Genomic DNA, 24,088 nt, shown 5'->3' with positions numbered 1-24,088 from the left:
TGTAATCCCTGCACTTTGGGAGGCCGAGGTAGGGCGGATACCTGAGGTCGGGAGTTCAAGACCAGCATGACCAACGCAGAGAAACCCCGTCTCTACTAAAAATACAAAATTAGCCGGGCGTGGTGGCGCATGCTTGTAGTCCCAGCTACTCGGGAGGCTGAGGCAGGAGAATCGCTTGAACCCGGGAGGCAGAGGTTGAGGTGAGCTAAGATCGCGCCATTGCACTCCAGCCTGGCAACAAGAGTGAAACTCTGTCTCAAAAAAAAAAAAAAAGTGTGCATTATCAGGGACATGGCAAGAGGACGGTGGTGGAATGCTGGTGGAGCTGGCCCAGCCGTTTCTGGGGACGGGGTCCTCAGCACAGCCTGAGACTGCTCTGGTCCCACTGGCCAGGCTGGGGCTCTGGGGAGAGGCCTGTGGGAGGCTGGTGAATCCCAGGTCTGATGGCGCCTTTGGGCAACGTGTCTGGACTCAGAAGTCAGGAGCTGAGGATCCTGTGGGGTCGCGTGTCAAGGGGGATTTCGATGACAGCTGTAAGTCCAGGCAGTAGATCCAGCAGAATGCATGTGGCCACCAGAATTTACCCAGCGCCTCCAAAAAGTACCCAGTTGGGAAGGAGACAGACGCCTGTGTGGAGGGAGGGACGGGTGAGAATCTGGGGCCCTGTCCCTTAGTCCTTTGTAAATGGCAGAGGGAGAGGGGGCTTCCGGATGGCAGTGATCCAAAACTCACCTTTCCATAGAAACAGTGAGGACACTGGAGGCCCAGCTTCCGGGCCAGCCCCCAGTGCTGAGAGAAGCCACTGCCCCTTGCCACCCCCGGAGAGGATGCCAGCCGTGCTCATTAGAGGGTGGGTGCTCCCAGCATCCAGCCTCCCTCTCATTCAGAAACTCGGCTCCAGGAGGGGGTTTTGGAGGCTGGGTATATGAGGTGTGCCAGTACCTTGGGGTTCTTCTGAGACCAGGAACCCGTGCTTTAGGCCTTCAAGGGCCAGGACTCACCTGGGCAGTGATTGGATGGGAGCAGCCCCCTCGTCCCCCTCGTCTAAGGCAGTTCGAAGAGACAGCACCGCAGAAGGCCCTCTGTGTGTCCCACCCTCCTGGGGAAAGTGAGATTCCTGTCCAGGCTTGGAGGAGCAAGGCAGTTGCCTACTACTTGAATAAATGGGTTGTTTCTGGATTCTGGGAATTGGGTAGCTGACAATGGTGCCTCTTTGGTGTTGCTGCCAGGATGCTGGGAGTCTCAAAGGGGACCAGTCACAACAAGGACGTGCACTCTTTGGTTCCATAGTAATTTTATAGTAATTAAGAATGAATATTTTAGTTGGGCACAGTAGCTTGCACCTATAATCCCAGCACTTTGGGAAGATGAGGTGGAAAGATCCCTTGAGCTCCTTGAGCTCAGAAGTTTGAGACTAGCCTGGGCAACGTAGTGAAACCCTATCTTTACAAAAAATAAAAGAAATTTAGCCAGGCGTGGTGGTGTGTACCTGTAGTCCCAGCTACTCAGGAGGCTGAGGTGGGAGAATCACCTCAGCCCAGAAGTCAAGGCTGCAGTGAGCCGAGATCACACCACTGCACTCCAGCCTGGGTGATGGAGTGAGACCCTGTCTCAAAAAAAAAATTTGTAACTTTGATTTTTTTTTAATTGCAAAAGAAATTCTACATACGAACAATCCAAAAGAAAAGGAATAAAAGTGGCCATTCCAGCAGCGAGGAATAACCACCACTAATATTTTGGTCTGTGTCCTTCCAGCCTTGTCATTTATACATTTATACAATACTCTACAATTTTTTAAAAACATGATCTTCAGGCCTCCCTGTTTCACTTAGTGGATTGCAGGTGCCTTTCCTTGCCTTTCACTGTCCTCCTCCCAGAGCCTCCGTTCACCCTCACTGCAGGCCATGCTCTCTGGCTGGCCTTTATGCTCCGTGGAACCAAGGGGAACCCTAGAGCTTGAGACTTGTGGGATGCTGTAGGGCTGTTTGTTCCCAGCCTCCCAGAGTACAGCTAATATGTCCCACTACCTGAACGATGTGCCTGCCCCACTGCTGAGTGACATCGGTGTGGCTGGCAAGGCACCAGTGCTGGTCTTTCTTCCATTGCTCACACCTCTCCTGGGCTCCCTGGGCTTCTGGGTGAGTTGAACACTGTGGGGTGCAGGGGAGGTAGGGCTATCTAGCCTGGAGTGGGGTGAATGTGCCCTTGGGAAAAGGATGCCACTCTCTTCCAGATCTTTCTGTCCTTATGTCAGAGAGATGGAGTCATCCCAGCACTTATGGCCAGCAAACCTGAAGCGCCTCCATGGCCATCTCCCTCTGCCTTCAACCCACGTGAGCACTTCCTGGGAGCCAGGCTGGGTGCCAGGCTGTGAGGGCACTGCTGGGCTCACGCGTTACTGCCTGTGCACTGTTGATACCCTATTTATCAGGCTCATGAATCTGTTAAACATGAAACCATCAACCCTTTCCAAACAGTAACACACCGCTTCTGTGTCTCACACACGACTCCTGAGTTTTGGCAATTCCTCCAGTGAAACACTGATTTAACGTTTTTATTGGATCCCACTTGTAAATATTTAATTAAAGTCTAAAATGTTAGACTATCTCTAGTGCTTCGAACACCCAAACACTCAAAACATGCCTAAAATGCTATATTGGTTACACAACGAAGCACTCTGCTCTCTCTGGAACTGACCCCAGTGCTGAAGCCTGATTCCCACCTCCCCTCCTCACCCTACTCCCCGTCTTCTTACTGGTGCTCATAGCTCTTCCCAGGGGTTCTGAGCCTTCCTAGGGTTGCGGCGACCCCAGGAAAAGAGACAAGGCTTCAGGGTGGGACCAGTTAAGGGCTGAGGACACAGGGGCCAGGGTGTCGATGGTTCCTTTGGGGCGGTGCTCCCAACTGTTCCTCCCGAGGTGACTGGAACCTGAGCTCAGGCATTAGGCTGTGTCCTTTCTGTAGGATGTTGGAAGCTCAAGCTTTTCATGAAGCTTTGTGTTTTTTGGCAGCCTGATGTCCACCCCCTGAAGCGAAGTACTCTGTAATTTTGCTTGTCCCACTTCTATGATATGCTGGTGGGACATACACATGCTAACGAGATATGCCTCCGTGGCCTGCTTCACTAGGACCAGGGAAGCATATCTTGTTAGCATGTGCTAGACTGGCTGCTTTGAGGGTCTTTCTCAGGCGGGAGGGGTGAGTGTGGGCAGGCAGCTCACTGTCTCAGGGCTATCTCAGGACAGATGGCTGTCCCGCATCTGTGGGCCCCTTCCTGCTGGACCTCTTTCTCGCTGGTCATCAGTGCGGCCACCAGAGCGACAGCTCCTACACTCCTTCCAAGATAAGGATATACATGCATACATACATACATACATGCATACATGCATACATACATACATGTACGATGAGCTCTAACCTTTTCCATTACCACTACAATTTATATGCTTTCTAGAAACTGTATTGGTATCATTGCAACTTTTGACAACTGGCATTATTTCAATGAACCAGTGAACAAGTCACTGCCACTTGGCCAGAGTGAGCACTGCCCTGAAACCCCTGGGTATGCAGCCTGTCCCAGGCCCACTGTAAATAATGTGTGTGCATGTCTGTGTGTGTATATGCATGTATGTGTGTTGTGTATGTGTGTGTGTGGTATATGTGTGTGCACGCACGTGTGTCATGTGTATACATATGTATCTGCATATATGCGTATGTGTGCACGCTGTGTGTATGTGCGCATAAGTGGGTCATGTGTAAGTGTGCGTGTATGTGTATACAAGTGTGTGTATATCTGTATGTATGTGTGCGGTGTGTGTGTATGAGCATTCATGTCATGTGTATGTGTATTTGTATATGCATGTATGTGTACATGTGTATGGTGTATGCGTATGTGCTCACGAATGTGTGTGCCATGTGTAAATGTGCCTGTATGTGTATATGAGTGTATGCATGTGTGGGTGTGTGATGTGTGTCTCTATACATGTATGTGTGTGCAGTGTGTGTGCATGAGGATGCATGTGTGTATGTATCTATCTCTGTGCATGATATATGTATATGTGTGCATGTGTATGTCATGTGCATATGTGCCTGTTATGTGTATATGAGTGTATGCGTGTGTAGGTGTGTGGTGTGTATGCCTATGTATATATATGTGTGTGCTGTGTGCGTATGTGTTTTTGAATGCAAGAAAGTGCTACTCCCTGGATCACTCTTCATGACAGAGCTAGAAAATATTTTTGATGATGGATATTAATTTCCATTCGCTTTAAAAATAAGTAAAAGTCATGTTAAGAAGGGTCCTGCCTAGCCATCTGATTCCCTCCCCAGAGGCAACCACTGCTCCCGTATTTTGATTTCTTTCTACAATTAAAGGTCATGAGTTCACGTGGATGTTCCCAATTTCACACGTTAGGCTGCTGTCCCCTGGCCACCCCCACCTTCTTTTTGGATGGGACTCCTTTGCCTGTGAAGACCTCGCCTCTCTGTACCTTCCCTTGAGAAGTTCCCAGGCTGGGAGGCAGAGCTGGGCTGTTTCTTCTTACAGAGCAGGGGACAGCTCCGTGGAGCTGGTGCCAGGGGTGCGAGGCTGTGTGTGAGCGTGCTCGGTGGTCTGGGCGCGAGCTGGTCACAGGTCAAGTAGAATGGGCTGGGCGAGCTCAGGTCACCAAACCCTCAGCTCCCAGTGGCCCCAACGACAGGCTTTGCTGCTTGTTCTTCATACATGTCCGTGGCGAGCTGCCTGGGCACTCCGGGTCGTCTCTCCCAGGCTGACTGAGCAACAACCAGCGAAAGCTGCAGGGCCCAGGGCGGAGGGAAGGGGTGCTCTGGTAGAGTCGTCTCCCGCAGGAAGCGCAGGGCTCTCGCCTGTGGCACCGTGACAGTGCCCTTGCACTCGGCACGCATTTCCCAGCACTAACTAGTGCCTCTCCCCTCGGACCCACCAACAGACCTCAGTGGGCCGGGGAATGCAGCCCAACCATAGGCCCAGAAGAGCAGAGAGCCTGGTGACAGCCCTGGGGGTGGCAAGGACCACTGATGGCAAAGTGGAAATTAATTTTATTTGTGTGTGGATCATTATTACTACTTCATTTTAAAAAAACACATGTTCCAGGCCGGGCGCAATGGCTCACGCCTCTAATCCTAGGACTTTGGGAGGCCGAGGCGGGTGGGTCACCTGAGGTCAAGTGTTCGAGACCAGCCTGGCCAATATGGCGAAACCCCATCTCTACTAAAAATACAAAAATTAGCCGGGCGTGGTGGCGCACGCCTGTAATCCCAGCGACTCAGGAGGCTGAGGAAGGAGAATCGCTTGAACCCGGGAGGTGGAGGTTGCAGTGAGCCAAGGTCGTGTCACCAAGCTCCAGCCTGCACGACGGGGGCCAGACTCCATCTCAAAACACAAAAAACAAAAACCCGTATGTTCCAAATTGGGACTCTTAAACATCCCTATCATCTTATTACACTCATCAGTCAGCATCCGTTTATTCTTCTATGTGCTACACCTTAACTCAATTCGCAAGTAAGGGTGTGTACAAAAGTCTTCATTATTTCAGAAAAAATCTTCAGAGAGGAGATTTATTGTGAATGCTGGGATAGTTCATGGCAACAGGACTGCTTGTGTTTCCCCTAAGGGCTTCTCAAGGAAGACTGTGTGCTTCCCCCAGGGTGCCCTTCCCAGGCAGGAAAGAGGGGTCTCATGGCCAGGGGGAAAGGTGGGAGTCCTGGCCCTGGCGGGGGCCCTCCTAGTCCCTGTGCCGATCCCATCGGGAATTGTTGATGACAGAGGAGAAACCAGGGCTGCAGAGCTGGGGTAGCCTGTCCAGCATGGAATTTAAACTTGCAGGACATCAAAGCCACCACACCTTAAGTTTTGGCCTTTGGGTGACTTGGATGAAACCCTGGATCCTCTCTGTGACTGTGGTTTGGTTGCCTTGGGAAGAACTGTGGGCTACACCACACCCAGCTCTCACGATGCACCGGTGAGCAGGGGGCACGCCTGGCACACAACGCTCCAATCCATGGTTCTTAGGTCCCCCTGCCCGGACTTAAACAGAAGGTGGTTAGAGCCAGCTCACGTGCTGACCCTTAGTGCTCTGGTCGGGCTAATGGAAAATGTATCTGAATATTAGGAACTGCATTTGGCTGCCAGTCATAGACAGCTGAAAAATGCTGGCTTCAACAAGGAAGTGGGTTCCTTTTCCATAAGATCACATGAAGCCCGCAGGTTGGCAGTCAGAGCTGGCGAACTGTCCCCCATCACTGCCCCAGGTCCTCCTGGGGCCCTCCCTCCCACAAGGAAGGAGGAGGCAGGGGCAGGGTCAAAGGGGCCTCCAGTGACTCAGCCCCCTTTGATGGAGTTCCCTGAAGCTCTACTTGACGACATCCAAGTCACCCCTGGCTGGAGCTCAGTCCCAGGGCCACCCCACCTGCAAAGGTGGCTGGGAAAACATGCACCAACAAAATTGGGGTCTGATACTGAGCAGGAAGGGCTGCAGCTTGCAGTTTCTGCCACAGTGATTGTTAAAGTGCTGTTTAACTGACCCCTATACCCCAACTCCATTCTCCATTCCCCATCCCCCCACCCTTTCCCTCACCCCCTCTCCCCGCAGAGACTCTGAGGCCCCAGGCCCGACATGCTGGAAAATGTGGCTCCTTCCAGGGCAGCAGCCTGCTGCTTGCCTCTCGGCGTGTTTCAGGTTTTCCTGAGCATTGGGGAGTTTCTGTGTCACCATGTCTCCTCTGGGGCTTGCCCAGTGCTTTCTGCCAGAGGAGCCCGTGCTCCAGCCCTGGAGGCACTGTGAGGGAGACGGGCTCTGGCAGCCTCCCCGACCCAGGCAGGCTCCTTGCAAAGACCCTGCAGGTTTGAGCAATCAGTGGTCCTGGAAGGTGGTGACGGCTCAGCCAGTGACCAGTCGTCAGGCCACTGCTTTCCCAGGTGCAGTGTGGTGGGCGGGAGGAGGCCTGTGTGCCATCTCCTGGGGAGGGGTGGGCCTTGACCCTGCACCTGGGCTGCACACCTTCCCCATTCCAGGGTGAAGGTGGACCAGGGTCAGAGCCAATTGGCCTTGGCCCCCTGAGTCCAGCCCCGCATGCGTGTCCCCCTGCTGTAGCCATCCACCTCACCTGGGGCTCCGGGCCTGCATCCCACCATCCGCCTCACCTGGGCCTGCATCCCAAAGACAGCCAAGGAGGTTCTCGTTTAGCCAGGACCATGAAGTTAGATGGACGGATTGTTAGGGAACCCAACCCTGCCTCAGGACCTGCCCTCCATGGAATCAGACACTCACAGAGGAGAGGGGACAAAGGGGGGCTCCCCATGACCTCTAGAGACCAAGGCCAAGAGCCACCTGTTGGGCTCAGGGAAGAGGCCCCTCCCAGCCTAATTACCTCCATCATAGGCATGCACACAATTCAGGGTGCAGAGAGGAAGGAAGGTGTACAATAAAAATAAAGGGTTCACTCCTCTATGCCAGCCCTCTGTTCTCCTCCCCAGAGGCAACCAGTGTCCACCACGTCGTTGGGTGTCCTTTGGGATATTTTCCCTGTGCGTACACGCAGAGCTCTGCAATGTTTTTTACGCACACGGTAACTCAGTACACACTTTCATGCACGTCCGTGTGAAGAGACCACCAAACAGGCTTTGTGTGAGCAATAAAGCTGTTTATTTCACCTGGGTGCAGGCGGGCTGAGTCCGAAAAGAGAGTCAGTGCAGGGAGATGGGGGTGGGGCCGTTTTATAGGATTTGGGTAGGTAAAGGAAAATTACAGTCAAAGGGGGTTTGTTCTCTGGCGGGCAGGAGTGGGGGCGGCAAGGTGCTCAGTGGGGGTGCTTTTTGAGCCAGGATGAGCCAGGAAAAGGACTTTCACAAGGTAATGTCATCACTTAAGGCAAGAACCAGCCATTTACACTTCTTTTGTGGTGGAATGTCATCAGTTAAGGTGGGGCAGGGCATATTCACTTCTTTTGTGATTCTTCAGTTACTTCAGGCCATCTGGGCTTATATATGCGTGCAGGTCACAGGGGATGCGATGGCTTAGCTTGGGCTCAGAGGCCTGACATTCCTGCCTTCTTATATTAATAAGAAAAATAAAACAAAATAGTGTCGAAGTGTTGGGGCAGCGAAAATTTTTGGGGGGCGGTGTGGAGAGAGAGAATGGGCGATGTTTCTCAGGGCTGCTTCGAGCGGGATTCGGGGCGGCGTGGGAACCTAGAGTGGGAGAGATTAAGCTGAAGGGAGGTCTTGTGGTAAGGGGTGATATTGTGCGGTTGTTAGAAGAAACATTCGTCATTTAGAATTATTGGTGATGACCTGGATACGGTTTTGTATGAATTGAAAAACTAAACGGAATAAGTAAAGGAGAAAAACAGGTATAAAAGGTCTAAGAATTGAGATGACTCAGGACATCTGATTAGAGAGTGCCAAAGGAGGTTCAGCATAGTCCTGCCAGCAAAGATTATGTATTTAAGAGTTCAGAGTGGCGGTTTGGGGATAGCACCAGGAGATATCAGCTGTGATGGCTTGGAGAAACAGTGTAAACTGGCAGTGTAAACAAGAGCAGGGCACGTATGAGTAGTTGAGAATGGTGAATAGGAGTACGACTAGACAGAAGATAGTAGGGATGACAAGTTTTTTGGGGCACAGTCCAAGTTGGTCTGGTGTCTGGAATGAGACTGGGGCCTAATAAAAAGGAGCGTCTATACAGGAGCTCAAATGGGCTGTACCTTGTAGCATTCCAAGGACAGGCCTGAATTCTGAGAAGGGAAAGTGGTAAAAGTATTGTCCAGTCTTTTTTAAGTTGGTGGCTGAGCTTGGTGAGGTGTGTTTTTAAAAGATCATTAGTCCGTTCTACCTTTCCTGAAGGCTGAGGACTGTAAGGGATATAAAGGTTTCACTGAATACTAAGAGCCTGAAAAAACGCTTGGCTGATTTGACTAATAAAGGCTGGTCTGTTATCAGACAGTATAGAGGTGGGAAGGCCAAACCGAGGAATTATGTTTGACAGAAGGGAAGAAATGACCATGGTGGCCTTCTCAGACCCTGTAGGAAAGGCCTCTACCTATCCAGTGAAAGTGTCTACCTAGAATAAGAGGTATTTTAGTTATCTGACTCGGGGCATGTTGAGTAAAGTCAATTTGCCAGTCCTGGGTGGAGGCAAATCCCTGAGCTTGATGTGTAGGGAAGGGAGGGGGCCTGAATAATCCCTGAGGAGCAGTAGAATAGCAGATGGAACACTGAGAAGTTATTTCCTTGAGGATAGATTTCCACGATGGAAAGGAAATGAGAGGTTCTAAGAGGCGGGCTAGCGGCTTGTACTATAGCACAGCCTGCCTTTGCTGGTGTGTGGCCATTAGGCCTGGTGGAACTGCCATCCATAAACCAAGTGTGATCAGGGTGAGAAGCAGGGAAGAAGGAAATGTGGGGAAATGGGGTGAACGTCAGGTGGATCAGAGAGATGCAGTCATGGGGGTCAGGTGTGGTATCAGGAATAATGTGGGAGGCTGGATTGAAGTCGGTGCCAGGAAAAATGGTAATTGTGGGAGACTCAATAAAGAGTGAGTACAGCTGAAGGAGCCGGGGAGCAGAAAGTATATATGTCAGGTATGAGGAAGAAAATAGATTTTGGAAGTTATGATAACTGTAGAGAGTGAGTTGAGCATAGTTTGTGATTTTGAGGGCCTCTAAAAGTATTAGGGTGGCAGCAGCCGCTGCACAGAGACATGAGGGCTAGGCTAAAACAGTAAGGTCAAGTTGTTTGGACAGAAGGTCTACAGGGTGCGGTCCTGGCTCTTGTGTAAGAATTCTGACTGCACTAACCATGCCTAGGAAGGAAAGGAGTTCTTGTTTTGTAGAAGGGGTTGGGGTTTGGGAGATTAATCGGACATGATCGGCAGGGAGAGCACGTGTGTCTTTATGAGAATTATGCTGAGATAGGTAACAGATAGGGAAAAAATTTGGGCTTGACTGATGTAATGGGGGCTGTCTGTGAAGCTTTGGGGCAGTACAGCCCAGGTAATTTGCTGAGCCTGATGGGTGTCAGGGTCAGTCCAAGTGAAAGTGAAGAGAGGCTGGGATGAAGGGTGCAAAGGAATAGTAAAGAAAGCATGTTTGAGATCCAGAACACAATAATGGATTATGGAGTGAGGTATTGAGGATAGGAGAGTATATGGGTTTGACACCATGGGGTGGATAGGCAAAACAATGTGGTTGATAAGGCACAGATCCTGAACTAACTTGTAAGGCTTGTCTGGTTTTAGGACAAGTGAAATGGGGGAATTGTAAGGAGAGTTTATAGGCTTTAAAAGGCCATGCTGTAGCAGGAGAGTGATAACAGGCTTTAGTCTTTTCAAAGCATGCTGTGGGATGGGATATTGGTGTTGAGCGGGGTAAGGGTGATTAGGTTTCGATGAGATGGTAAGGGGTGCATGATCGGTCACCAAGGAGGGAGTAGAGGTATCTTATACTTATGGGTTAAGGTCGGGGGATACAAGAGGAGGACACAAAGGAGGCTTTGGATTGGGAAGAAGGGCAGTAATGAGGTGTGGCTGTAGCCCAGGAATAGTCAGGGAAGCAGATAATTTAGTTAAAGTGTCTCAGCCTAATAAGGGAACTGGGCAGCTGGGGATAACTAAAAGGAGTGCTTAAAAGAGTATTGTCTAAGTTGGCACCAGAGTTGGGGAGTTTTAAGAGGTTTAGAAGCCTGGCTGTCAATACGCACAACAGTTATGGAGGTAAGGGAAACAGGCCCTTGAAAAGAAGGTAATGTGGAGTGGGTAGCCTCCGTATTGATTAAGAAGGGGACGGGTTTACCTTCCACTGTGAGAGTTACTGGCAGCTCGGCGTCCGTGATGGTCTAGGGGGCTTCCGAGGTGATCGGGCAGTGTCAGTCTTCAGCCGCTAAGCCAAGAAGATCTGGGAAGGAGTCAGTCAGAGAGCCTTGGGCCGGAGTTCCAGGGGCTCTGGGAGTGGCTGCCAGGTGAGTTGGACAGTCCGATTTCCAGTGGGGTCCCGCACAGATGGGACACGGCTTAGGAGGAATCCTGGGCTGCAGGCATTCCTTGGCCTGGTGGCCAGATTTCTGGCACTTGTAGCAAGCTCCTGGGGGAGGAGGTTCTGGAGGAATGCCTGGCCGCTGCAGTTCAGGTGTTTGGAAGTTCTTGTGTGCTGGAGATGTGGCTGGGGTTTGTCTCACAGTGGAGGCAAGGAATTGCAACTTTTTTCTATTATTGTACACCTTGAAGGCAAGGTTAATTAAATCCTGTTGTGGGGTTTGAGGGCCGGAATTTAATTTTTGGAGTTTTATTTAATGTAGGGAGCAGATTGGGTGATAAAATATATATTGAGAATAAGACGGCCTTTTGGGCTTTTAGGGTCTAGGGCCGTAAAGTGTCTCAGGGTTGCTGCCAAACGAGGCATGAACTGGGCTGGGTTTTTATATTTGATGAAAAAGAGCCTAAACGCTATCTGATTTGGGATAAAGAAAAAGGAGCATTAACCTTGACTATGCCTTTAGCTCCAGCCACCTTTTTAAGAGAAAATTGCTGGGCAGGTAGGGGAGGGCTAGTCACGGAAGGAAACTGTAAGCCGGACCGGGTGTGAGGAGGGGAGGTGATAAAAAGATTATATGGTGGAGGAGCGGAGGCTGAGGAAGAATTGGGACCTAGCTCGGCCTGGCAAGGAGCAGCCTGGGGAGGAGGGGAGAGGTCAGATGGGTCTATAGAAAAGATTAGAAAGACTCAGCGATGCTTGGGGTTGGGACTGAGGAGACAGGCGGGAGGGAAAGAAGGAAGATTTGGGATGAGTTGCACTGGGAACAGAGACTAGGGAGGGACTGATGTGTAAAAGAACGCCTGGACGTCAGGCACCTCAGACCATTTGCCCATTTTACGACAAGAATTATTTAGATCTTGCAGGATGGAAAAATTGAAAGTGCTGTTTTCCGGCTATTTGGAACTACTGTTGAGTTTGTATTGGGGTCAAGCGGCATTGCAGAAGAAAATAAGGCATTTAGGTTTTAGGTCAGGTGTGAGTTGAAGAGGTTTTAAGTTTTTGAGAACATAGGCTAAGGGAGAAGAAGGAGGAATGGAGAGTGGAAGGTTGCCTACAGTGAAGGAGGCAAGTTTAAAGAAAAGGGAGAGTAGAGACACGGAGAGAAGCGGTTCAGGGGTTCTTACTCTCCAGAAAAGTGGGAAAGGGGTCGGGGTGCAGAGATACGAGGTCGGGATGTGGAAATAAGGGATCAAGGTGCAGAGATATAAGAGGTGGGGGCATGGAAATAAGGGATTGGGGCACAGAGATAAGAGGTTGGGGCACAGAAATAAGGGATTGGGGCGCAGAGATATGAGGTTGGAGTACTTGCTCCTCCTCTAGAAAAGCGGGACTTGCCGCTCAGGGTGAAGGAGAAGGGGTTGGGGGTTTCTTGCCCCCCAGAAAGGCGGAGAAGGGGTAGAGACACGGAGAGAAGGGGTTGGGGTCCTTGCCCATTCCCCAGAAAAGCGGGACTTGCCGCTAAGGGTGAAGGACCAAGGCAGGCGTCCCTGCGTGGTCTGACACCTCTGAAACCTGGGTGAATAATCAGAGAGGTGTCCCTGCAATGATTAAACACCAAGGGAAGGCTGCCTTCCCAGTCCGTGACCGGCGCTGGAGTTTTGGGTCCACGGATAAAACGTGTCTCCTTTATCTCTACCAGAAAATGAAAGGAATTGAAGTTAAGAGAAGGGAGAAATTGAAGTGTGGCGCCAAGATTGAAAGGAGAAAGAGGTTGAGGGATAGTGAGGGAGGTTGGAGAAGAGAGTAAAAAGAGGCTGCTTACTGGATTTGAAATTGGTGAGATGTTTCTTGGGCTGGTTGGTCTGAGGACTTGAGGTTGTAGGTGGATCTTTCTCATGGACCAAAGAGCAGGAGGACAGGGGATTGATCTCCCAAGGGAGGTTCCCCCCCCCCTCCCCCCGCGCCAGTTACGGCACCAAATTTAATGCACGTCCATGTGAAGAGACCACCAAACAGGCTTTGTGTGAGCAACAAGGCTGTTTATTTCACCTGGGCGCAGGTGGGCTGAGTCCGAAAAGGGAGTCAGTGAAGGGAGATAGGCGTGAGGCCGTTTTATAAGATTTGGGTAGGTAAAGGAAAAAGGGGGTTTGTTCTCTGGCGGGCAGGAGTGGGGGTGGCAACGTGCTCAGTGGGGGAGCTTTTTGAGCCAGGATGAGCCAGGAGAAGGAATTTCATAAGATAATGTCATCAGTTAAGTCAAGGACCGGCCTTTTTCACTTCTTTTGTGGTGGAATGTCATCAGTTAAGGCGGGGCAGGGCATATTCACTTCTTTTGTGATTCTTCAGTTACTTCAGGCCATCTAGGCATATACGTGCAAGTCACAGGGGATGCGATGGCTTGGCTTGGGCTCAGAGGCCTGACGCACTGTGCTGCAAGCTGCTTTCAAACAAATGCATTTATTATATCTTGGAGAACATTCCAGTCCAGCAGTTAGTGCTGCCTGCCTCTTTGACAGGCTGCAGAGGATGGCACTGTTGCATGTGCAGGAATTTTATGACCTCCCTCATGATAGAGGTTGGGGTTGCTTCCTGTTTGGGGCCATATTCTAAGAGATGCTATAGTGAACATCCTTGTTCTGTATCTTTGGGCACTTTTACCAAGATTTCAGGACCAAATACTTAAGTGGAACTGCTGGGTCAGAGGGTATGTGCATTTGAAATTTTGGTAGATAAGTCCAGAATGCCCTCCAAGGGGTAGCCTCCAACTACCCCCTCGTTAATCCACCCTCCATTCAGCAAAGTGAGTTGTAAAGTTGACTGAATCATCTAATAATCCTGCTTAAAACTGCCAGGAGCTTCCGCGGAGACCCCCACTTGCAATTCTGTGTGCACAGTCCCCTCCTTCAAGGCCGCAGCCACGCCAGGCTCTCCTGTCCCTCCCACACAGTGGCTTGAACCCACAACAGGGTCTTTGCATGTGCAAGGCCCTTGCACCCAGTGCCCTCAGAGCTCCATGGAATGCCTTCTTCCCATTCCTCAGTCTCACATTGTACCTCCTGGTGCAGGCTGCAGGCCTCGCCAGCCTCAGTCAAATGTAACGTTCCTAGGCCAAGCCACGAATTGCCCAACTGGGTGGTCCGGCTGCCCTGCTATCTCACTTGTTTGTGTGCTTATTGTCAACTCTACCTATGAGGAGTGAGCTCCTAAAAGCAGAGATTCGGCCAGCGCAGGTAGCTCACACCTGTAATCCCAGCACTTTGGGAGGATGAGGCGGGCGGATCACCTGAGCTCAGGAGTTCAAGACCATCCTGGCCAACATGGTGAAACCCCGTTTCTACTGAAAATACAAAAATTATCCAGGCATTGTGGTGCACGCCTGTAATCGCAGCTACTCGGGAGGCTGAGGCAGGAGAATTGCTTGAACCTGGGAGGCGGAGGTGGCAGTGAGCTGAGATCGCGCCATTGCACTCCAGCCTGGGCAACAGAGCGAGACTCCGTCTCAAAAAACAAAAACAAAACAAAACAAAAAAAACACAGAGATTCTTGACTGTGTCTCCGGTCACAGTGCCTGACACTTAGTAGGTGTTTAAGAAGGAGATGCTGGCTGGTTACCACCCTCTGCCAACATGAGGGTGGTAAGTGACATCTATCTGAGATGCCTGTGGTCCAGCTGATGTTGACAGGGTCCTCAGGGTGCCCCCCACCCCCTCACTGAAGCATGAGCTCTTCTACACCCGCCAGAGGTCACTGGGCAGAGGCCAAAGTTGCAGGGACCATGCTGAATGCTGGGCCCATCCCAGCAACATTTTACTGTTGTGGAGACTGTTTCCCTGCTGTTGGGTGAGGTCAAGCATTGATGTTTAAGGGTCTGTCTGTTTCTTTGTAATTCAATTGCTGCCCATGCCCTTAACCTGTTTGCCTTTCCGGTTTTCTGTTTCTTATTGACATTACGAACTCTCTGTAATGAAGATAAGTGAGGTCTTTGTCTCTCATTTGTGTTGCAATGTTTTTTTTTCTCAGTTGCTAGTCTTTTAGGCTTTGGACTAATTTTCCACGTAAGTTTCAATTTCATGGAGTCAAGTTCATTAGTCATTTCCTGTATTTTTTTTTTTTTTTTAAGAGTTGGGTCTTGCTCTGTCACCCAGGCTAGAAAGCTGGTGTGATCATAGCTCACTGTAACCTCCAACTCCCAGGCTCAAGGGTTCCTCCTGCCTTGGCTCCTGGGTAGCTGGGACTTTAGGCCTGTATGATTTCTAACTGTGATGTGATGAGATCCCCTCCCCTGGCTCTGTGAGGCCTGGGGCTGGGCTTTTCCAGGAGTAGGAGAGGGTGAATTTTGGTGCCTGCAAAGCAGCCTGGCCTCGCGTGATGCCAAAGCAAAAGCTTGGGGCCTGGGGCAGATGGAATCTGGCTTGCATCTGGGGGTTAACTGGGCAGTTGTGGGGCACTGGAATGAGAGGAGAGGGAGAGTGGGACTCCTGAGACCCTGCTGTGGGATGAGGGTGAGAGAATGGCAGGGAGGTAGACAGGAAGCACAGACCCTCAGCCCCCTGGGACTTGGTGCCCAGGTTGGTAAAAAAAAAAAAAAAAAAAAAAAAAAGAGTGGGGGGACTCGCTTTTTCCAAGCCTGTGACTGACAGAGCAGCGTCTCCACCCATGGAAGCTGCTCAGGGGCCACCTGCATGTTGGCACAGTGGGCAAGGAGGGGCTGCCCATTATCCCCAGACAGCGAGTGGGTCTGGGAGGGACTGAGCCCGTGCTGTGGTCATAAGCGCTCAAAAGACAGAGGCCACAGCTTCGTTCTTGAAAGAATCTGTTTATTTTGAGATTAAAAGAGTCTCATCTCCCTGCATATCCAGCAAATACTAAATTTGATCTTTTTAATTTTAGAAAAGGGTCAACAAACTTCAGCTGGAGTATGATCTCTCTTTCAAACTCCCATTCTGGTTTAAGGAGCCCCAAAGGGTAACTCTTGACAAAAAAGTGGCTATGTTTGCACATGTGTGTGCATATGTGTGTGCATGTGTGTAATGCATGTGCATAGTTTATAAAATGTTTGCTGTTGTATCCATAAATCCCCTGTGGACAACGTTCCTTTTCGTACTCCGCTGTACACGTGTGCAGTGAATGTTTAGCAAATACATAATTTGGTATAAATCCCATACAATGTGATTTCACAACCAGAAGCCTGACTGCTGAGATATTACTGAATTTTTTAAAGTGATAAACAAGATTATTATGTGCAAACAAACAGGGCCTGTGCTCCAGCTGCGTCCAAATTTACTTGACAAAGCTATAAACACAAGGCCCTTTCTGAAGTCCTGCTGATTGAGTTTCCCCTTCCTTTTGTCGGTGGAGAGGAATGTAAAGGCTAAGCGGGTGCACTCGGACTGTGTGCCTCTGGGCTTGCTGGCGGTGGCACTTAAAGGAACTCATTCATTCTCTGGATGGGGCAACACTCCTCACCCGGGATCCCCCAAGGGCTTTCCCACACGGAGACCTTCCCGAACACAGAGACATCTGATCTTGGCTTGCCCAAGCTGGCCCAGGCCTCGGGGACTCAGGAGCCTGTGGAATGTGCTGAGAGCCTGAGGTCTCTGGCGGGGAAAGGGCAGGGGTCACAGCCCCCCTCCTGCCCTACCTCAAGTGCTTCCCAGCGGAGGGCCTCTAGTGTAATTCCATCTGAGACCTGGGGATGGCAGGAAGGCCCGGCCCTGCTTTGTTTGACCCAGCTCAGAACAGGATCCTGCACCCCTGCTCCTGCAAACTGATGGGGGAGGCCAGAGGAGGCCGCTCCCAGCCTGATACCACTGTCTTCCCTGGGGCTGTAAAATCAGCAGTTGGGGGATGGGGTATTCAGAGAACTCTGCTCCAGAGAACCAGAGAACCCTGGAGCCACCGCCAGGCGAGTAACTTCTCAGCACTTCTTAGCAGCAAGGAGTTCAGGGGAGAACTCCATCTGTCTTCTAGGTCCTTGGAGAACTAGAGGCCGATGGCAGAGGGGTCAGGCTGCAGCCCCGGGCCAGCCAGCTCTGATGTGTGACAGTCATTCCACAGGAATTACCTTCTCTTGCGAGTGCAAGCCTCCAGCCGGCCCAGCTCCTCGTAGGACTGGTAGAAAATGTCGAACTCCCTGGCGCCCCAGCCCCTCCAGACGGCCAGGCACCACTCTGTGTTTTCATTTTCAAAGGTGCACACAACAGTGTCCTTTGCCACCACGGCAGCATCCACCAGCACCCTGCAGAGAGAAGGGGGTCTGAGGAAACTCACAGGGGTTCCCACTCGGGTGGGGTTGGGACCCTCCCCCTGTGCCTTCTGAGGAAGGCGGAGCTGGCTAAGGGCAGGGGAGTGTGTCTGCTTGCCAGCCCTCTCTGGGGTGTGCTGAGATGCACCACTTCTCCCCAGTGGCCAGCCTGTGGGCTTAGGCTTTATAAAGTCCAAAGACGGGCTGTGGGCATGAGTTCGCGTCCATGGGCTTTGTCTGTAAGAGTCAGACTCCCTGGAAGGCCACAGAGGCAATCAGATCATGCATCCTTGACTCAGCTCCCAAAGCGTCCAGAAAACACCACTGACCCAAATTTCTGCTTGTGAATGGCTCATGACCGAGTTTAACTCAACTCCCTTGCCACTAAGCTCAGTAAGATTCTTCTCTCATTCTGTTTCTACAGGCTTAGGAAATACAGGATCATATATTAAATGGAAAACCTACTGCCCCAAAGTCATCACTATATACATTTTTTGAAACTGTGGACAGTTTTGCAGGATCGGTGGGTGTGTGCTACAGGTTTCCTTTTGGGCCACAGTGTGGCCTCCCTGCCCTGGTGGTGCCCCACCCCAAGCACATACTAATTGCCTTTCCTCCCTCTGTGTCCCGTGTGTGCGGCCTGCGTGGCACTGAGGTGCTCCTGCAAACTGGGATGTCCAGGGACCTCTCACTCCGCGTGGCCTTGCCAGGACCTCCCCTTAGGGGAGGAGCCTCCCTCTAGCGAGAAAGAGGTAAAATCTGGCTTTAGGGATGAATAGGAGAAAAACAACAGCTAAACGTTAGGACATTAATGGCAGGTATGCCAAGGTCCTAACCTGGGTGCTGCACACCCATTTCCTCCAGAAGCCCGACCTGCAAGCTGGGAACTCCATCAGTTCAAGGCTTCTACCCACAGGCTCTGCCAGAGCTCAGGAGCAGATCCAGATCTTGCTTCCAGAACCACTTACAGAGTAAGGGTCACTGGCCCAGGACTCACTGCAAAAGTTCAAAGCTGGCAGGCAAGGGAGTGCGACTGCCAAGGATGTCCTTGTCATTGTCCTGCTTTGGGAGAAGCAAGCTGACTGGTGTTTCTCCACCCTCTTATGCTCCAGATGAAATAAAAACCCACTTGCCCAGGGATGGGGGATAACTCATGCTGCAGGGAAACAGGCCTAGTGTGAAATGGAAGAGCTCCAAAGTACACACACACACACACACACACACACACACACACACACACACATTTGAACTGAGGACTTTTCGTAGGGGAGATTTACCGTGTGGGGCTCGGTAGTCAAAGTGCGGGGTGTAAACACTGTGGGGAGCTGCAGCTGGCGCCAGCCTCACATCACTGCAACCATGTAGACCATGTCCCGGACAGGCCACCCTGCCCAGCATACCTTCACAGAGGAGACTGGCATAATCCTGGGGGTCCCCACCCACAGACAGGTACTGAGCTATGTCTCAGCCCAGGAAGGGCAGGAGCTGAGACCCCAGGCTTGGAGATGACAAGGTGTGCCTGTGTCATCTGTCCCCATAGGGTGCTGTGTGGGCTGGTGGACACCTCGGGTAGGGTTTCCTGCTTGGCAGGAAGAACAGTGAATCAATGACCTGGATGCATCTGCATGTCGATTGCAGCTGAACTCTGGCCCTGGAGACATTCGTTAGGTAGGGTACTAGGTAGGGTACTTGATCTACAGGTGCACTGGGTACTCCAGAAACAGGCAGCCATGGCCAGTGCGGAGCCCCTAGGAGCTGTCTGAGGGGCCCCATCTTGTTTCCACTTTGCCTTACAGCCACGTTAGTGGCTATGCTATTTGGGAGAATGGAAGGGCAGCAAAGCCACTGTGCAGGACCTGGCTGCAGGGCCTTCTGTGCTCATGCTGCTGCCTGGGTCCTAAAGGAGCTGCCACTCAGTCTTACCCATGCGGAGTCAGCTCTCGGGCTTTTAAGACGGCAATGACTCGGCCCCGCTGGGCGCCAGAATCCTTCTCCAGGCCAATGACGATAACATCTCCACCGCGCCTAAGCAACCAAAACCCAGAAGGGGAAGCGATTTGTCGGTAGCCGTGCTCTCCGGGGAGTGAAGCCGGTGTGCAGAAAGGTGCGGGAGGGAGGCAACAGACATGCAGTTTCTGCTAAGGGATTAAGTTATGGGGAGGGGACAGACTTCAAAGCAGAGGAGAATTTTCTCAGTGGAAACTGAGTCACAGTTGACTGTGGCTTTCCTTGTGTGGCACCTTAAGCTCTCTGGCAGGCAATAAGCTTTTGTGCGGCCACTCTTAGATTTGCTAAAGCGATCGCTTCCATTCCCAATGGAGGAAACCAACCCTCTTGGAAGAACAGCACCTGCCTCCCCACATGACCTGTAAGGAAGCCAGGGGGCTTCCCCTTGCTCTGTCCCCAGAGCAGGAGCAGTGGGCGTGCCCTGGATGGTGCCCTCACCTCGGGAAACGTACCTGGGGACCCAAATGAGGTCTCTGACGGCGAGGATCTTCACGGCCTGCAGGTGCTGGCTGAAGGTCTCCCCGTCCATGGGGGTCAGGTCATGCTCAGACCTGTCGGAGGCAGCACCGGGCGTATGTAGCATGTCTGAGTCCTCGCAGTCGGTGGAGAAAGGCACACTGGAAGAACTTGCTGGGGAGCTGGGGAGGCTTGAGGGGGACCTGGCAGCCTGGCGGGGTGGGGATGAGGAGTAGGAGGACATGGAGCAGTAGTCAGTGAGTGATTCCTGGTGGATCAGGATCTGCGTGCCCAGCTCCTCACTGTACATGATGCTCACGTCCGCGATGGAGTCCCCCTCAGGCACCTTTGGGTTGGCCGTGTGGCTGGCTGCCGGGGGTTCCGTGTCCAAGGGCCGCACGGGAAACATGTCCCTGAGGGGGCTGGGGACCCCGCAGAAGTACCGGGCACACAGCTGGTAGGTGGTGGAGTGGTACATCACCAAGGAGTTGGCCTTGTCATCCAGGCACCAGACGACCTCCTCCCCTCTGCCCTCAGAGCTGCACACGACTGACGTAACCATGGAGGGGGCCATGTAGGGCTCCAGCCGCCTGCAGATCTCCAGGGAGGCACAGTCGATGACAAGGAGGCCCGGCCCATTGCTGTACCAGACCTCAGAGCCGCTGTTGACCACCTCCATGGCCTTCACTGGGTAGGGGTTCTGCCGTGCGTCTTCATCCGCGATGCTGAACTTGGACCTGTTGGCTGTGTGTGAGCACAGGTAGGAGCAGCTGTCCTTTGGGGTGCCCCGCACCACGGGAAACACAGCCACAAGCCCATCGGCGAGGCCCGCTAAGACCAGGTAGGAATTCTGAAGGAAGGAGACAGGGATGTGTCACATCCTTCCATTTCACACATTCCAAGAGAGACACAGAGTAGGCACTGGACTCATCTGCACCCACACCAGGCGGGCAGTCACTTTCCACCAGTGCGCCTCAGGGCAGCAAATCTCTTAGAAAGGCCGGGGCTACTCCTAAAGAAGTGCAGCTCTGACTCCGCAGAGCCATATCTACCATCCCTGCAGCAAAGAAAGGAATGTGCCACCCAGAGGCAGGGCCTGTGGCACCAAGTAAGGCTGCGTGTCACCTGGACCACATGGGCTGCCTCTGCTTCTGCCAGCTTCTTGCAGGGCGAGCAGCAGGGAGCTGCCTTCTCCTTGAGGCCACCAAGGCCTCCTTCAGAGGCAGGACCTGGTGCCCCCGCCCTTTTCTCGGTGCTGCTTAACATGACAGCAGTGGGGGCATGGCAAGCATCTGTGCACTGCCCCCTGCCTGCCACCCCCCCCACCAGGCAGAGTGTTCCATAAGGATGGGCTCCCAGCCCACCAGCATCCCCGTGGCACTAGCCTGGCACAGGGAAGGGCTCAGTCTCCTTCATCTTGGTGGCCCTGTGACTCCACCTGGCTCCTGCTCCAAGTGGATGACATGTGTTTGCTGAACTAATTCTGGAAGAAATCGCTTCCTACTCAACCCTCTTCTGGAGGCCTGTCTCAGCCTGCTGAGCCCTCATCCCAGCTTACATCTATCGAGATGCCTGTGGTTCAGCTGACGTTGACAGGGTCCTCAGGGTGCCCCCCACCCCCTCAATGAAGCATGAGCTCTTCTACACCCGCCAGAGGTCACCGGGCAGAGGCCAAAGTTGCAGGGACCTTGCTGAATGCTGGGCCCACCCCAGACCGCCCCGGGGCACCTCCCAGGGCAGAGCCAGGAACAGAGTGCAGCTCCGCAGCCTAGACACCGCGTCGGCTGTGGTGGGGGTGGGAAGAGGTCTGCAGAACAAAGCTGGAGTCAGGGCAGAGCAGGGAGCTGGGCCTCATGCCAGTGAGGGGGCAGGGCAGAAAGCCTCCTTGTGGGGAGCTGGGGGAGCTCAGGAGGCTGGCTGTGCAGGGCAATGGAGTGGAGACCCGTAGCTCACTGTCCAGGACAACATGCTCTAAGAAAGCGTATCGAAATCCATCCCCAGGACTTTAGGGAAAGAAGGCAGCCAAGGCAAACAGGCTCCAGGTCTCTATCTGCAGTCCTGGCTCAGGCCCCGGCCAGGGCGGTGAGTGCCACGTCCCGGCTGGGTGTGAACGTGGGTGCGCGTGCAAGAATGCAGGCTTCGCGCTGGCGGCCTTGGAGGGGGCAGACACCCTGCCCAGGAGGCCCTGCACAGAGCAGGCTTTATTCCCTCTGGTCGTGCAGGAGGTGGTGCCCTGGCTGGGGGCTCTCGCCAGCGGTGGCCTCAATAACACTTTGTGTCGTGTTCTCCTGCGCTCTGGTACGGGCCTGGTCCCAAGCTGCGTAGCCTCGCTGTGGGGCCATGGTCATAAATGACTCTAAGGTTCATTTCATACCTGTTTTTTTTTTTTTTAAATGAAACTGAAGAAGGGTGAAGAGAAGAGTTCATGTATTTTGCGACCATCCAGAAGTAATAATAATACTCATTTACCAAGCACACCGGCCTAGACCTTTGGGTATGCTAGGCCTTCTGTCTCTTCTTATACCTGTTTTGTAGATGGGCAAACTGGAATTGGATGATGACAGTCACATTTTAACAAAGCAACACCAGTAAAGGCTTCTTGTGCATTTAGTGAGGGCGCCTATGCACAGACAGGCCCCTCAGGGTGGATGAAACCAGAGCTGGCTGAGCCGTGCCTGAATCCTGTGGGCGGAGGAGCCCGGAAAAGCCAGGGAGCTGCCCCCCACTGAGGGGCAGCTTCTCAAAGGAGGGGACAAGGCCCCGGGTCTTGAGAACTGAATCGGAGGCCGTCTGGGAAGAGGTGCGTGGAGGGGCTGTTCCTGGAGGAGGCTGGGATGTCAAGGGCCCAGCACAGAGTGGGGTGCTTTGTGGGGAGGGTGCCGGGCCCAGCAGGGACTGGAGGCCAGCCTCATAGAGGCTGGGGCTAATCCCAAGGTGCAGCACAGCTGGCTGGGCCTTTAATGGGGAGAGTGCCCCTTGGGGTCTCATTTAGAAAGGCCAGGGCTAGGAGGTTAAAGAGCTGAGTCTGCAGGGCTATGCTGCACAAAGAGAAACTGCGTCTGGTGTAAGACGGCGAGTACTTGGCGGGAGGCAGAGATGGAGGGAGGGAGATCAGGACCTCCAGGACCTGGTGATCAAGTGGCTGTGAGGTGGCTCTGGCCTGGGCAGGTGGGGAAGAGGCTCCGGATAGGGGAAGGGCACACGCATGACTGCTCACCGTGCCATTTGTACCAACAGTCCTTCCACCTGAGTCAGGGCATTTGCATGTGAAAGGGGGTTTTTCATTCGGCCTGCAGTCTGGCTGGGGACTTGACTTAGGTTTTTGCAAACCGGAAGGCACTAATGACGGACCAGGTCTGATATCTTTCCTCCCACCGTCTCTAAGTCTACGTCCTAGGCCAGGTGGTCCTAGGTGTGGCTCTGCAGGCGCCACCCTGACATAGCTAGGAGACGCCTCCTAGGCGTGGAAGTGCATCAGAGACCTGCATACCTGCCTTTGCCCCGACCTCACCTTTTTAATAACAGGCACGGCCAAGAAGCAGGTGACGACAGCTGGAGTATCCAAGGCCTGTTGGGGTGTGTTTAAGGGGCACATGCCCTTGAGGGTGTAGATGTAGATTTTCTGGTCCTGCAGAGGCAGACAGGTCCACTGTGAGACCCAGGCTGGAAAGTGTCTGGCATTTCCCAAGCCATTCCCATGAGGATGCACTTGGACTTGGGGATCCCCTATGGGTCTTGGAAAGTTACATGGATTGACACGTTCTGGTGGGTTGTTTATGGATTTCTGCTCTTTGTAGAAACGTTGAAAAAGACAGACTAGTCTAAAGAGGAAACAGAAAATAGCCCGTCATCTATTCCCCAGAGAAAACCAACATTGGGATCTGGGGGCACAGCCTCTCAGAAGTTCTCTGTGGTATTTGTGTGTGCACCTGGTACTGGCAAAGTGGACTCACGCCGCAATGCTGTCTTCTCACTGTTCTTCCCATGTGAGACAGCATGCTTTAGGCAGAGCCCTTGCTTTCCTCACTCTAGGAGGAAATGTTCACTGTTCTTCCCATGCAACAGCACGCTTTAGGCAGAGCCCTTGCTCTCGCCCATTCTAGGAGGAAATGTTGTGGGAGCATCTCTTGGATGCCTGGGACTGGGCTGCACCTACTTCGGCTAATCTGTTGTCAGATGTTTCTTAACACTGAGATTTCTGAGGCTTAAGTGGTACGCAAGGCTGGAGTGCAATGGTGCGATCTTGGCTCATTGCAACCTCCACCTCCTGGGTTCAACCGATTCTCCTGCCTCAGCCTCCTGAGTAGCTGGGAACACTCACGCACCACCATGCCCAGCTAATTTTTGTATTTTTTAGTAGAGACGGGGTTTCACTATGTTGGCCAGGATGG

At 52.5% G+C, this 24,088-nt stretch overlaps 1 protein-coding gene and 1 long non-coding RNA gene across 8 annotated transcripts in view, besides 12 other annotated features; one reads left to right on the top strand and one right to left on the bottom strand.

The window, feature by feature from the left end:
* Window positions 1-24,088, top strand: part of LRRK1-AS1 (LRRK1 antisense RNA 1) — a 109,606-nt gene that overhangs the window by 65,941 nt on the left and 19,577 nt on the right. Inside the window, exon 1 of one of the 7 annotated variants that reach the window (XR_932737.3) lies at window positions 20,543-22,497. The exons of 5 other annotated variants lie outside the window; for them this stretch is intronic. This is a non-coding gene — a long non-coding RNA (LRRK1 antisense RNA 1). Of the gene's footprint in view, window positions 1-20,542; window positions 22,498-24,088 lie in introns of those variants that run through there. One more of the 7 variants, XR_001751727.2, reaches the window with a different exon arrangement.
* Window positions 5,862-6,423: an enhancer, noted in NCBI's record as "NANOG-H3K27ac-H3K4me1 hESC enhancer chr15:101619681-101620242 (GRCh37/hg19 assembly coordinates)". NCBI's record gives its function as "activates a minimal SCP1, AML or CMV promoter by ChIP-STARR-seq in naive H9 embryonic stem cells {active_cell/tissue: H9 hESC(naive)}" and the evidence as "EXISTENCE:reporter gene assay evidence [ECO:0000049][PMID:30033119]".
* Window positions 6,424-6,985: an enhancer, noted in NCBI's record as "NANOG-H3K27ac-H3K4me1 hESC enhancer chr15:101619119-101619680 (GRCh37/hg19 assembly coordinates)". NCBI's record gives its function as "activates a minimal SCP1, AML or CMV promoter by ChIP-STARR-seq in naive H9 embryonic stem cells {active_cell/tissue: H9 hESC(naive)}" and the evidence as "EXISTENCE:reporter gene assay evidence [ECO:0000049][PMID:30033119]".
* Window positions 6,986-7,549: an enhancer, noted in NCBI's record as "NANOG-H3K27ac-H3K4me1 hESC enhancer chr15:101618555-101619118 (GRCh37/hg19 assembly coordinates)". NCBI's record gives its function as "activates a minimal SCP1, AML or CMV promoter by ChIP-STARR-seq in primed H9 embryonic stem cells {active_cell/tissue: H9 hESC(primed)}" and the evidence as "EXISTENCE:reporter gene assay evidence [ECO:0000049][PMID:30033119]".
* Window positions 7,550-8,111: an enhancer, noted in NCBI's record as "OCT4-NANOG-H3K27ac-H3K4me1 hESC enhancer chr15:101617993-101618554 (GRCh37/hg19 assembly coordinates)". NCBI's record gives its function as "activates a minimal SCP1, AML or CMV promoter by ChIP-STARR-seq in naive and primed H9 embryonic stem cells {active_cell/tissue: H9 hESC(naive and primed)}" and the evidence as "EXISTENCE:reporter gene assay evidence [ECO:0000049][PMID:30033119]".
* LRRK1 (leucine rich repeat kinase 1) overlaps window positions 7,642-24,088 on the bottom strand; it is a 158,901-nt gene continuing 142,454 nt past the window's right edge. Inside the window, exons 31-34 of the mRNA NM_024652.6 lie at window positions 23,209-23,325; window positions 19,694-20,547; window positions 19,158-19,259; window positions 7,642-17,228 (exon numbers count right to left, since the gene is read on the bottom strand). Coding sequence (NP_078928.3) covers window positions 17,051-17,228; window positions 19,158-19,259; window positions 19,694-20,547; window positions 23,209-23,325 — 1,251 coding nt within the window. The 3' untranslated portion in view covers window positions 7,642-17,050. The remainder of the gene's footprint in view (window positions 17,229-19,157; window positions 19,260-19,693; window positions 20,548-23,208; window positions 23,326-24,088) is intronic.
* Window positions 8,676-9,237: an enhancer, noted in NCBI's record as "H3K27ac-H3K4me1 hESC enhancer chr15:101616867-101617428 (GRCh37/hg19 assembly coordinates)". NCBI's record gives its function as "activates a minimal SCP1, AML or CMV promoter by ChIP-STARR-seq in naive H9 embryonic stem cells {active_cell/tissue: H9 hESC(naive)}" and the evidence as "EXISTENCE:reporter gene assay evidence [ECO:0000049][PMID:30033119]".
* Window positions 9,238-9,801: an enhancer, noted in NCBI's record as "H3K27ac hESC enhancer chr15:101616303-101616866 (GRCh37/hg19 assembly coordinates)". NCBI's record gives its function as "activates a minimal SCP1, AML or CMV promoter by ChIP-STARR-seq in naive H9 embryonic stem cells {active_cell/tissue: H9 hESC(naive)}" and the evidence as "EXISTENCE:reporter gene assay evidence [ECO:0000049][PMID:30033119]".
* Window positions 15,585-15,751: a silencer, noted in NCBI's record as "fragment chr15:101610353-101610519 (GRCh37/hg19 assembly coordinates)". NCBI's record gives its function as "represses an EF-1alpha promoter that drives an FKBP-Casp9 reporter gene in an ReSE screen in phorbol 12-myristate 13-acetate-treated (for megakaryocytic differentiation) K562 erythroleukemia cells {active_cell/tissue: K562(+PMA)}" and the evidence as "EXISTENCE:reporter gene assay evidence [ECO:0000049][PMID:32094911]".
* Window positions 15,706-16,369: an enhancer, noted in NCBI's record as "OCT4-NANOG-H3K27ac-H3K4me1 hESC enhancer chr15:101609735-101610398 (GRCh37/hg19 assembly coordinates)". NCBI's record gives its function as "activates a minimal SCP1, AML or CMV promoter by ChIP-STARR-seq in primed H9 embryonic stem cells {active_cell/tissue: H9 hESC(primed)}" and the evidence as "EXISTENCE:reporter gene assay evidence [ECO:0000049][PMID:30033119]".
* Window positions 16,370-17,035: an enhancer, noted in NCBI's record as "OCT4-NANOG-H3K27ac-H3K4me1 hESC enhancer chr15:101609069-101609734 (GRCh37/hg19 assembly coordinates)". NCBI's record gives its function as "activates a minimal SCP1, AML or CMV promoter by ChIP-STARR-seq in naive and primed H9 embryonic stem cells {active_cell/tissue: H9 hESC(naive and primed)}" and the evidence as "EXISTENCE:reporter gene assay evidence [ECO:0000049][PMID:30033119]".
* Window positions 17,700-18,365: an enhancer, noted in NCBI's record as "H3K27ac-H3K4me1 hESC enhancer chr15:101607739-101608404 (GRCh37/hg19 assembly coordinates)". NCBI's record gives its function as "activates a minimal SCP1, AML or CMV promoter by ChIP-STARR-seq in primed H9 embryonic stem cells {active_cell/tissue: H9 hESC(primed)}" and the evidence as "EXISTENCE:reporter gene assay evidence [ECO:0000049][PMID:30033119]".
* Window positions 22,356-23,020: an enhancer, noted in NCBI's record as "H3K27ac-H3K4me1 hESC enhancer chr15:101603084-101603748 (GRCh37/hg19 assembly coordinates)". NCBI's record gives its function as "activates a minimal SCP1, AML or CMV promoter by ChIP-STARR-seq in naive H9 embryonic stem cells {active_cell/tissue: H9 hESC(naive)}" and the evidence as "EXISTENCE:reporter gene assay evidence [ECO:0000049][PMID:30033119]".
* Window positions 23,021-23,686: an enhancer, noted in NCBI's record as "H3K27ac-H3K4me1 hESC enhancer chr15:101602418-101603083 (GRCh37/hg19 assembly coordinates)". NCBI's record gives its function as "activates a minimal SCP1, AML or CMV promoter by ChIP-STARR-seq in naive H9 embryonic stem cells {active_cell/tissue: H9 hESC(naive)}" and the evidence as "EXISTENCE:reporter gene assay evidence [ECO:0000049][PMID:30033119]".

The sequence above is a fragment of the Homo sapiens genome, chromosome 15 (genome assembly GCF_000001405.40).
Source record: "Homo sapiens chromosome 15, GRCh38.p14 Primary Assembly".
NCBI classification, from domain to species: Eukaryota; Metazoa; Chordata; class Mammalia; order Primates; family Hominidae; genus Homo; species Homo sapiens.
This window is presented reverse-complemented; position numbering and strand designations above follow the sequence as displayed.